Source organism: Homo sapiens, chromosome 4 (assembly GCF_000001405.40).
Source record: "Homo sapiens chromosome 4, GRCh38.p14 Primary Assembly".
In the NCBI taxonomy this organism is placed as follows: Eukaryota; Metazoa; Chordata; class Mammalia; order Primates; family Hominidae; genus Homo; species Homo sapiens.
Genome location: NC_000004.12, coordinates 28,302,309 through 28,315,226, shown reverse-complemented (window position 1 = coordinate 28,315,226; position 12,918 = coordinate 28,302,309). Strand labels below are relative to the sequence as shown.

General features: G+C 40.8%; 2 long non-coding RNA genes across 4 annotated transcripts in view; one reads left to right on the top strand and one right to left on the bottom strand.

Annotated features, from left to right (window-relative positions):
- LOC105374557 (uncharacterized) overlaps window positions 1-12,918 on the bottom strand; it is a 485,690-nt gene that overhangs the window by 287,973 nt on the left and 184,799 nt on the right. The gene's annotated exons all lie outside the window — the stretch shown is intronic.
- LOC107986269 (uncharacterized) lies at window positions 1,134-3,558 on the top strand. Of its 2 annotated transcripts, none has more exons than XR_001741643.2 (3): window positions 1,134-1,423; window positions 1,949-2,074; window positions 3,495-3,558. It is a non-coding gene; the product is annotated as an uncharacterized LOC107986269 (long non-coding RNA). The 2 variants fall into 2 exon arrangements; XR_007058439.1 differs by having other exon boundaries at window positions 1,949-3,299.

The window sequence follows — 12,918 nt, the reverse complement described above, 5'->3', positions numbered from 1 at the left end:
AGAAATTAGGCCTATTATCTCCACCAACCTCAGAAGATGAGAATAACTGAGAAAGTTCACCCAATGTATCTAATATTATGTAGAACTATTTAGGTCAAATTCTTTTTTTACAGGACTATAAAAAATTACAGATGATGCCTATGTCTGTGCATATTTATTCAGTCTCTCATTTAAACAGAAAGTCAATTCAGACGCTTTGTTTCCCATACACATAGAGACAGTTTGAGCCACAGTTAAGGTTTCTAGGATTTAATGGCCAATCTATAGGAACTTTATCTATGTAACTGCTGCACCAAATTCTTTAATATGTCATTTTCTTCACTTTTATTTTACTTCCCTTACTTCTGTTTAAGAAAATTTTCAGGTCCAAACATCTTATTTAAACTCATTTTTTTTTGTATTTCAATCTCTTTCACATTTCTGTCCACTTTAATTTTTTTTCTTTTTTCTCTTTCATGAGTTTGTCCCCAGTTGGCATCTTCTCTTCTATGCTAGGATTTATTTTTTTTTAAAAGTTTTAGATGAAATGAAAGATATGAGAGATATAAATGAAAGTGGCATAAAAACTCCAAAGCTAAGGAAGGTAATAGAAGGAGACATTTTAAAATTAAATGCAAACAGTGGCTCAGAGAGTACAAACAAAAGCAGGTGGAAAGAGGACAATCTCCAGCATCCAGAACCAGAAATGGTTCTAAAAGGTCAGTGCATGAAGCACACAGCCAGGTCAGCAAACATTTCTCTCTCCTCTGGCCAGAGAAGTAAATAGAAAATTCACAGGAGACTTGAACAGTAAAGGAACAGTAAATAAAATTGCTACTTGGACGCCAAAGAGACAAGATTTGCACCAAACAAGAGTTTTAAGTTTAAAAATCACATGAAGGCACCTGAGGCTAGATCCACAAAAATTTCTGAAGACATAAATATTCTGATACGGTCTGAGATATTGTTGAAAAACTAAATTCTCTAACAGAAAAGAGATGAGAGTTTAATTTCTTTTGTTTGCTCTTTCCTAGCTGTGTGACCTGTTAAAATTTATTCAACCCCTCTGAGCCTCAGTTACCTATCAATCATTAACTGAACAACACATGTCAGGTCATCACATAGATTAAATACATGAAAATTGCTGAGGACAGTATAACACAAAACCTTACCAAATTGTAGTTTGCTTCCTAAGAGACTGGATTACTAAATTGAGAGACTGTTTCCATGGTCAATAAAACTGAAAAAAGTATAATCTGAACATAGTTCTGGATTGTTATTTAGAAGGTGTGCAAAATTGTAAATGACTCATTCTCATAAAAAAGCAGCTTTCTTTGGTTCTTATATGCCTCAGGCTCTCCACAGCCAAAAAATGAATTAGATAAATGAACAAGTTCTGGGTAAGATTCAAGTACATACTTCATTGGAGTACTTCAAAATAAAGGTAAGATTGACCTGAACTCTTTTTTATTTTTTGTCTAAGATTTCTTGAGTATATTCAGTCAACTTTCCCTTTTCAGCTCCAACAGGCTGCTGAAATAACTATGATGAATAAAATGTACCAATTGCTTAGTTAGGACACTTAGGTCCTTAGATTTCATCGATCACCCATTGTGAATCCTCTATCAAACCATGTATCAAAGCTGACAATAAATAGCAGCATTCCTATATAACAAATTTATTTTCTGTTCTCTCTTTTGTATATTTGATATATAATAGAAAAACAAAGAACAAGAGTTCTTAGCATAGGTAATCTCAAATGGAGCACTATGTTGCTGGGTAAATAAGAGCCATCTTTGCTTCATGGAAATTAGACTTTTTCATATTGACATTCAGCATCATCTAGAAAGCAGTGCTCTATCCAGTTCAAGCTGTCTGCACAAGAGCTGTCTGCAAAACCAGCTTTAGCTAGTGGATGTGTCAAGTAATTTATTTTTCACTAACTAAAGATTTATTAAACATTTTTTAGCAACACTGTCCTGGGCTATGAAGGGATACAAAAGTTATATATGTTCCAACCCTCAAAGGAAATATTGTATCCTTGCATCAATAAGGGAACCAGGAATGGAACAATGGAAAATATTGGAAGTTTATAGTAAGTAGAATTGTAAGTAAAATGATAACAAACAGGTAAAATCACATATAGGAAATTTAGCATCAAAATTTGGCCTATAGACCAGGGATAATCAAACTTAACTATGTATCATAATCACCTGGAAGGCTTGGTGAGTTGCTGATTTAATAAGTAGCTTGGGTTGAGGCCCAAGAATTTGGATGTCTAGCATTCACATGTGATGTAGCTGCTACAAAGGGGATTGCAATTTGCAAAACATACCTAGAGCACCAGAAAGCCATTTAAAGATCAGTCTAGTTAATTTCAGATAACTTCTGTATCTTGTAGAGACGGCACAGTGTGATGCCCATAATATACATATACACACACACAGGCGCAGGTGCACACACACACGAGCACACACACACATGTGCAGGTGCACACACACACACGAGCACACACACACATGTGCAGGTGCACACACACACACGAGCACACACACACGAGCACACACACACATGTGCAGGTGCACACACACACACGAGCACACACACACATGTGCAGGTGCACACACACACGAGCACACACACACATGTGCAGGTGCACACACACACACGAGCACACACACACCGCAGAAAAACATCAGGAATATTTAGTTGGATTGTGTTAGGAGTTTCTTTCTCCCGTTAGAGATCCTCAGCCTCAGCTATTGCTTTTAGATGAACATGCAGCCTCTCCCTGCTCAGATGCAGATTCCCTTCCTCATCATAGGGTTTTTTTTCTGTTAACCACAGTGTGTGATTTCACATGTTAATATAAAAACAATTCAGAAATACTGGGGAAAATATTATTTCTGTCTGTAGTTGCTCCTCTGATATTTATGAGACCCGCCTGGTTTCCTTACTTGTGGAGTTTCTAGATGATAGTACAACATTTAAACATATTTTTTAAAATATTATTACAAATATTAACTAAAATTACTGAAAAACTAATATTCTTTTAAAATTATAATTTTACAATTATGACATAAGTACTCTACACTTATACAATACTTAGGAAAAAAATCACCAGTTAGATGAAGCTATCATTTTTTGTAGATTCTCATTTTCCCTTTCTTCTATTCATGTATATACCATGTTTCAAAGAATAAGATCAGGACTTGCATTTTGATCTGTAACCTGTTTTTGTGATGTAACAATCCACTATAAATCACCTTCATGTCAACAAAAATGTATCTAAAATATGAGATCACACAACATTTTAAAAGGTATGACTTTTCAACAATGTTTTTTAATTTTCTCCCTTATTTCCTGGTTTTAGGGAATTGAATATATAACTTAAAAGACTAGTTTGTTTTATATTGTGAATTTCTATTATTGGCTGTTTGTACTTTCCTGCCCGTAAGTATAATTGAGTTATGACTGTGCTTTCTATTACTGAATATATCTTATCTGTTTTTCAGGTCCACCTTAGGATAAATTTGAAAGCATAAAGCCACCTATCAATAAAGACATATGTACAACTGACTCCATGAAAAAATGTAGCTTTCTTTGATTAGATGCCTGACACTTTCTGAAGGACCTTGAGAATTTTACTCATTTATGGAAAGATAATTTCCTACTAATGAAACGTGGGATTAAAAGTTGAATCAAAGAAAATTCAATAGCTAATTATAATCTGTGACAATTGGGGTCTCTTAACCAGTGAGATGATCTGTAACTAACAGAATTATTGCTAGGAGACAGGGAAAAAGAAATATTTTTTTAAAAGATTCAGGAAAAAATATTTATCAAGTTTGGTGGAAAATATATAGATTTATTAATTCATTTATAAACAGCATAATATCCAATGTTATGTTCTTATTAATTACGAGTTTTGGTGAGTCATTTTGAAGAATTTAAGAATGTTTTATAGAAGCTAGCTAATTTTATTTTGTTCCTTTTTAAATAAATTTTAAAATGAAATAATAAGTCACAGGAGTTTTTCTCACATGTAAATCTCTAAGTCAGACTATTGATGAGAACATTTAAAACAGTCAGTGCTGAATCATCAACAAAGTCATATTTAGTTGAAATGCACATTGATCACCTGAGAGATGAGAATTCCCTCAACCATTACACAATTGCTGAATATGTCTTCAGTACTAGGCATTATGATAGTAAAGAATGAAAAGATGAATTAAAACATCATTAAAATTGCAGTATATATTTTAGCAGAGAATAAAAAAGAAAATCGATTACTATATAAATTGTTAAGTTAGCCTAAAAAGAGAGTATGTTGGGATTAGGCAATCTTAGTTTATTTGTAACATCAAGCTATCTTTCATGACTCACCTTGAGATTCCATGAAAGTTTTCTTTTTTTTTTTTTTTAACTTATTTTAAGTTCAGAGGTATAAGTGTAGGTTTGTTACATAGGTAAACTTGTGTCATGGGAGTTTGTTGTACAGATTATTTCATCACCTAGTATTAAGCCTAGTGCCCATTAGTTGTTTTCTTGATCCTCTCACTCCTTCCAACTTCCACCTTCCAAAAGGCTCCAGTGTGTGTTGTTCCCCTCTGTGTGTCCATGTGTTCTCATCATTTAGTGCCCACTTATAAGTGAGAACAGGTAGTATTTGGTTTTCTGTTCCTGCATTAGTTTAGTAAGGATAATGACCTCCAGCTCCATCCATGTCCCTGACACATGGTCTCATTCTTTTTTATGGCTGCATAGTATTCTATACTGTATATGTACCACCTTATACAGTGTTGTGCCTGGAGTTGGTTCCTTCCAGTGGGTTCTTGGTCTCACTGACTTCAAGAATGAAGCCATGGATCTTTGCAGTAAGTGTTACAGCTCTTAAAGGTGGCATGGACCCAAAGAGTGAGCAGCAGCAAAAGTTATTGTGAAGAGCAAAAGAACAAAGCTTTGGCAGCATAGAAGGGGACCCAAGCAGGTTGCCACTGCTGGCTGGGGTGGCCAGCTTTTATTCCCTTATTTGTCCCCACCCACGTCCTACTGATTGTTCCATTTTACAGAGTGCTGATTGACGCATTTACAATCCTTTAGCTAGACACAGAGTGCTGATTGGTGCATTTTTACAGAGTACTGATTGGTGCATTTACAGTCCTTTAGCTAGACATAGAGCACTGATTGGTGCATTTTTACAGAGTGCTGATTGGTGCATTTAAAATCCTTTAGCTAGACACAGAGTACTGACTGGTGCATCTATAATCCTCTAGCTAGACACAGAGCTCTGATTGGTGTGTTTTTACAGAGTGCTGATTGGTGCATTTACAATCCTTTAGCTAGACAGAAAAGTTCTCCAAGTCCCCACTCGACCCAGGAAGTCCAGCTGACTTCACCTCTCAATCCCCCCTCTAAACAGGACACCCCAAATGCTGTTGGGAATTGGGCAATGACTGCTCTAGCTAATTCCTGCTAGATATGGGACAAAGAAGGTGCCCTGCAGTTGTAGTGTCCTCCAGAGGGGAACTCTTTAGGCCAGTCAAAGGGCCAGTGGGTCGGTCCAGGGGTCCTCGGTAGAAGTTGTTAGTTGAGCTCATTTGGGGTTCCATTTGTAAGACCATCTGTAGCTTGATGGCCTCGATCCTAGAGGAAACATATTTGACAAGGAGATTAAAAATACAGGACCCAAAGGCAAGTAATAGCAAGATGTCTGTCACGGGACCTAGAAAGGGGAGAAGTCATGTCAACCAACTCCAGAGGTCAGTATAAGAGTTTGAAAGGCATTGTCTGATTTCAGAACCCTTTTCCTATAAACTTTGGGTGGTGTCTTATACTATTCCTGACTGGTTAGTGTAAAAGCAACACTCCTCCCCCAAGAAGGTGCAGAGTCCTCCTTTCTCAGTAGTAAGGAGGTCTAGGCCTCAGCAGTTTTGTAGAGTCACTGCTGCCAAAGAGTCTATTTTAGACTGTAGAGTAAGGATAGATTTTGTTATTTCTTGCAAACTGTCTGAGAAATCCTTTGAGAGTGTGTGGTAGTAGGATAATACATGTTAAACTGTTAACTTTTAGCAAACTTTACTTTTGTTGAAAATTTGTAAGTTTGGGATTTCAATTATTCTTTGCTATTAATAAGACCTCGTTCAGTCCATATTAACTTAAAATTGGTATAGATGGCTCCTTCCTGATTCTGTTTAAGGTTTAGCTGAGTGCAAACAGCTCACACGTTTGAGAAGACCAATTATTAGGCAATTTTCCTAACTCTGCTTCTACAAGAGTTTCCTTATCACTTACTGAATACCCATTTTGTCTTTTTCCTTTAATCACCCTGGAGGTACCATCTATCGTCCTGTACTGAAGGGAGTTCTTCCTAGGTCTGGTCGGACTTTTGTATGGTAGTTAATTAAGATTTAGATCCCCTGTTACGAAACCTGCTGGGTTAAGGATTTTTGATAGGAAGGCTATGGGTTGTCAGTGACCTCAGTGCTTTTGGGCTACTCCCTTGTTCACACTGACAACAAGGTGGCATTGGAATGTTATAAGGTTGCAGAGAAGACCTTCAATTATCAATTATAGGTTTTAAATTTACTCTGGCTTTTAAAGGAATAGGGTACACTTTTTTCTTTACTACTTCCATCTCTCTCCTTCCTTCTCTTTCTGTCTTTCTGTCTCTTTCTCTCTGACTCCGTCTGTCTATTCCTCTCTCTCTCTTTCTCTGACTTTGTCTCTCTCTGTCTCTCTATCTCTTCCTCTCTCTCTCTCTTTCCTCTCTGCTGGTCTTTCCCTGCCTCTGCCAGCCACTTATGCTGCTGTTCTCCCCCTCCTTGCCCTTTTGATGGCTTTTGCCTCAGCAGTGTAAGACTGCCACCTCCTTGGATTTTTGCAGTGTGTGCAATAACTCCATGATTTCCTTGTTGTATTTAATGGGGGTTCTCCTAGAGGTTAGGAACTCCCTTTCTTTCCATATTGCAGCATGGGCATGTAGGGTTAGATAAGCATACTTGATATCTGTATACACATTTATTCTTTTTCCCTTTCCCAGTTCTAAGGCTTGGGTAAGTGCCACTAGTTCTGCTAACTGGGTGCTTGTCCCTGGGGGAAGAAGCTTACTTTCAAGTACTGTTACATCACTAACTATGGCATAACCTGCCTTTTGTATCCCATTCTCCACAAATGAACTTTCATCAGTATATAGGTTAAGGTCAGCATTAGCTAAGGGGACTTCTAAGAGATCCTCTTGGGTGGCATAAGTCTGGATTATAATTTGTTGGCAGTCATACTCGATTGGTTCTCCATCCTCTGGGAGAAAAGTGGCAGGGTTGAGGGCCACACACATGCACATTTGAAGCACCGGTTCCTCAAGAAGTAGGACCTGGTATCTGAGCAGGCAGTTGTCTGATAGCTGTAAACTTCCTTTGGCACCTAGCATGCCATTTACATCATGAGTAGTCCAGACAGTGAGATCCTTTCCTTGTATTATTTTGATGGCCTCTGACACTAAGATGGCCACCACCGCAACTACCTGTAAACAGTGAGGCCAGCCTTTTGCTACTGTATCAATTTCCTTATTTAGGTATGCCACTGGTTTTGGGGTTGTCCCACGAGTCTGAGTAAGGACTCCAAGAGCTATTCCTGCTCTCTCTGTGATGTATAAAGAGAAGTTTTGTCATGTGGGAAGGCTTTAGGCTGGAGCTTGTAATAGGGCCTGCATTAGGGTTTGGAAGGCTGTTTCTGTCTCTGGTTCCCATTCTACTAGGTGAGTATTTGCCCTCTGGGTCTCGTTGATTAGAGTATAGAGTGGTCTGGCCATCTCACTGTATCCAGTGATCCATAGTCGGCAAAAGCCAGTGATTCCAAGGAACCCCCTGCAATTGTTTTAATGTCTTAGGGTGAGGATAAGCCAGTATAGGCTGTATTCATTCCGTACTGAGGGTCCTGGTTCCTCTGGATAAGATTAGGCCTAGATATTTGACTTCTTGTAGGCAGAGCTGGGCCTTCGATTTAGATGCCTTTTACTCTTGATTAGCTAGAAAGTTCAAGAATTCTATAGTAGCCTGCTGGCATGAGGCTTCTGAACTGGTAGCCAAAAGTAAATCATCCACATACTGAAGGACCAGAGTGCCCAGACTTGAGAAGTGGCTTAGATCTTGGGCCAGTGCCTGACCAAATAGATGAGGGCTATCCCTAAACCCTTGGGGCAAGACTGTCCATGTAAGTTGGGACACGTGTGGTCTGTGGGATCCTGAAAGACAAAGAGAAACTGGAAGTCAGAGTGCAGGGGATTACAGAAGAAGGCATCCTTGAGGTCCAGAACCGTAAACCATTCTGCTTACTCTGGTATTTAAGAGAGCAAGGTATAGGGGTTGGGTATAACTGGATATAGAGGAATTACTGCCTCATTGATGAGTCTAAGATCTTGCACTAGTCTCCACTGACCATTCAGTTTTTGTACTCCTAGAATTGTGGTGTTGCAGGAACTGCTGCATTTTCTTACTAAGCTGTGAGATTTTAAATGTCTAACAATATCCTGTAATCCTTTATGAGCTTCATGCCTTAAGGGCTATTGCCTTTGATAAGGAAAAGTGGTGGGGTCTTTTAGCCTGATTTGGACTGCACAGGCATTTTTTGCCCTTAAAATTTGTCCTTCCAATGCCCAGACTTTAGGGTTGATTCCCTCCTCAAGCAGGGGAATACAAATGGGTAACTTGTTCCCCATATCAATGTAGATAATGGCTCCAGCTTTGGCAATAGCCAAATATGTCCCTCCCTGATAATGGTGTGAGACTTTCAGGCATAACAAGAAAGGCATGTGAAAAGAGCAAAGTCTCCCAATTACAACTGAGGAGGTGGGAGAAATACCTGGTTACAGGCTGTTCCAGGATTCCTCAGATGGTAACAGACCTTGAGGAAAGCCATCTGGGACAGGAGATTAACACTGAGAAGGCTGCACCAGTGTACAGGAGGAAGTCAATTTCCTGGCCCTCAATGGTTAAACATACCTGGGGCTCAGTGAGGGTTATAACATGAGCTGGCACTTGCCCAGGGCACCCTCAGTCCTGTTGTTGGATCATCTGGCTGGGGGCTTCTGGCCCAGAGAACCTTTGTCCTCTGGGGAAATGCACCTTCCATTGATTGCTTTGGCAGAGAGGACATGGGTGAGGGGCAGCTTGTTTCTTGTTGGACAATCTTTTTTAAAAGTGTCCTTGCAAACCACACTGATAACAAGCCCCACTGGGTGACTGGTCTGCTCCATCTTCTGTCCTCTCCAAACCACCAAGGTTTGTTTGTCTGAGGGCCATGACTAAGGCTGTGGCCTTTCTCTGATCTTGCTTTTCCTTTTTGGCCTGTTCCTCTTGGTCCCTATTATAGAACACCAAGGTTGTCAGGTTTAGTAATGCCTCCAGATATTGTTCAGGGCCCAGGGCTCGCTTTTGGAGACTTCTCCTGATATCTGTGGCTGATTGGGTAATAAACTTATCTTTTAGGATCAATTGACCCTCGAGTGAGTCAGGTGACAGGGGAGTATATTTTCTTAAGGCCTCCCGAAGCCACTCAAGGAAGGCTGAAGGATTTTCTTCTTTTCCCTGAGTTATGGTGGACATCATTGAATAATTCATGGGCTTTTTCCCAATTCTCCTTAGTCCTTCTAGAACACAGGTCAATAGATGTTTACAAGTATAGTCCCCATGATCTGAGTCAAGGTTCCAGTGGGGAACCATACGGGGGATGGCTTGCTGACCAGTAGGGAATATGTCCCTTTCTTCAGCTGTCATTCTATCATTTACTTGACTAAGATACCAGGTATCTCCAAACTCTCAGGCTGCAGCTACAGCTGCATTCTTTTCATTAAAGGCCAGGGTTTGATATAATAGCATGACATCTCTCCAAGTGAGGTGAAAGGTTTGCCGTAGACCCTGTAGGACATCTATGTATGTATCAGGATCATCTGAAAACTTCCCCTGGTCTGCCTTGATCTGCTTTAAATCAGAGAGGGAGAAGGGGACATGTACCCATGTTGGGCCAAATTCCCTTCCCCCTACAGCTTGAAGGGGACATAACTGATAGCCAGGGGAGTTCTGTGGTCCCTTGGAGATTTCTTTGCTTGTTTCCTTCTGGGCAGGGGAGATTAGAGGAGGCTTATCATTAATAGGAAGGAGAGCTCTAGGAAGGCTAGGATATGGGGGTAAGCTGAGAGGTCCTCCTGTGGGATGTAAATTGCAAGCTTTGCACAGTTGTGGATTTTCCTTCAATGAAAAGAAAGATTGGACATAAGGTATTTCACTCCATTTGCCTTCCCTCTTACAGAAAAGGTCAAGCTGCAGGATAGTATTGTAATATATACTTCCCTCAGGTGGCCATTTTTCCCTATCAGAGAGAAAATATTCAGGCCAGGCTATAGTGCAGAAAAAATGAGTCACTTCTTTTTCAGGGTTTGCAGGTCATATTGGTCCCAATGGCTTAGGATGCCTTTCAAGGGTGAGCCTGTTGATGACTGAGTGTTTCCCATCTGAAAGAAAAAACCACCTGTGGTTTTGGTTTGTTTTCCCCCTCTTACCTAAGAACTCACAATGGTCCCTGGACCCTGCTGATCAGAATAGTTGCGCTCACCGATGCAGCAACAGAAACACTAGTATTCCTCCTAGACCACAAGGAGGACCAAGGAAGGTCGGATTTAGTGGCCCTTACTGACACATTCTCAAAAACCTGCACCCTTGCTTGTCCTCCTAGACCACAAAGAGGACTGAGAAAAATCAGATTTAGTGGCCCTTACCAATGCATTCTCAAAAACCTAAGAATGTTAGAGTCCTAAGCATTCTCCTGTTAGTATTGGGACATTACCCCTGTCCTATAAAGATGTTATTCCCCAAAAATAAAGTGGAGGGCCATACCCTGAAGAAGGGAAGGGATCTCCAGGGTTGGAAGAGTGACATGTTTTGTCCTCACTTCTCATCATGTGAATAGGAAGGATATCACTTCTGAGGCTCCCCATATCTTAGCTTCAGGAATAGCCTTTGTTAGGCCCACTTGTCTGAGGACGGATCCTAAAATTCCAGATAGTCCCCACCTCTGACAAGGCTTTGGGCAAAAATTATGTCTTTCTGATTGGTGAGCCTGGGTGCCTAAAGAAGGAAACAGAGTCCTGAGGTTTATAATAGAAATCATTCTTACAGGTGAAACTAGAAAAGCACCAGAGACAGGGAGTGGTTTTTAGAAGCAGGACTAGCTTTGGAGAAGAGAAACAAAAGGAAGTTTGTCTGACAGGCATTAGGACCCAGGAGGCAAGGTTCAGGATAGATAGGATAAATGGGTGAATCTCAGTTGGGCGACATGACTTAAAGAGTTCTGCTCATGGCTGCAGGGTCAACCAACTTTTTGTCGGGACCCCGTAGCTGAATGGCTTTCCTCTCTGTTGACCCTTGGCTCAGCCCAGAAGTACAGGAAAAATGGAAGCTGGTTCCAGGCAAACCAATGGTCCCAACTCCAAAGAGCCAGGGTTTGTTAGAGAGCTCTTTCCCAGAAAGCCTGACACCCATGTCTTTAGTCCGGCAGCCATGCTGGTTGCTTTTAATTGGCCGGCAGGTGCTTGGTATTTAGCCCCTGAATTCTAAGGAAAAATAGGACAGACTAGCAAGTGAAAGGTGTCCAATGGTACTCAGCACTTGGCTATCATCCCATCGTGGTTGCCAAAATGTGTCCGGAGTTGGTTCATTCCAGTGGGTTCTTGGTCTCGCTGACTTCAAGAATGAAGCCAAGGACCTTCATGTGAGTGTTACAGCTCTTAAAGGTGGCACGGGCACAAAGAGTGAGCAGCAGCAAGTTTTACTGTGAAGAGCGAAAAAACAAAGATTCCACAGCATGGAAGGGGACCTGAGAGGGTTGCCACTGCTGGCTGAGGTGGCCAGCTTTTATTCCCTTATTTGTCCCTGCCCATGTCCTGCTGATTGGTCCATTTTACAGAGTGCTGATTGGTGCATTTACAATCCTTTAGCTAGACACAGAGTGCTGATTGGCGTGTTTTTACACAGTGCTGATTGGTGCATTTACAATCCTTTGGCTAGACACAGATTGCTGATTGGTACGTTTTTACAGAGTGCTGATTGGTGCATTTACAATCCTCTAGCTAGACACAGAGCGCTGATTGGTGCATTTTTACAGAGTGCTGATTGGTGCATTTACAATCCTTTAGCTAGACACAGAACGCTGATTGGTGTGTTTACAATCCTCTAGCTAGACAGAAACGTTCTCCAAGTCCCCACTTGACCCAGGAAGTTCAGCTGGCTTCACCTCTCCATGTGATGGTTAATATTGAGTGTTAACTTGATTGGACTGAAGGATGCAAAGTATTGTCCCTGGGTGTCTGTAAGGATGTTGCCAAAGGAGATTAACATTTGAGTCAGTGGACTGGGAAAGGCAGATGTACTCTCAGTCTGGGTGGGCACCATCTAGTCAGCATCCAGTGCAGCTAGGATAAAAGCAGTCCAAGGGACATGGAAGGACTAGACTAGCTAAATCTTCTGGCCTCCATCTTTTTCCAGTGCTGGATGCTTCCTGCCCTCGAACATTGGACTCCAAGTTCCTCAGCTTTTGGATGCTTGGACCTACACCAGCGGTTAACAAGGGGCTCTCAGGCCTTTGTCCATAGACTGAAGGCTGCACTGTCAGCTTCCCTACTTTTGAGGTTTGGAGACTCAGGCTGGCTTTCTTGCTCTTTAGCTTGCAGATGGCCTATTTTGGGACTTCACCTTGTGATTGTGTGAGGCAATTCTCCTTAATAAACTCCCTTTCATATATACATCCATTCTATTACTCCTGTCTCTAGATAACCCTGACTAATACATTCAGTCTATCATTGATGGGCATTTAGGTTGATTCCATGTCTTTGCTATTGTAAATTGTGCTGCAATGACCATACGTGTGTATGCTTCTTTATAATAGAAT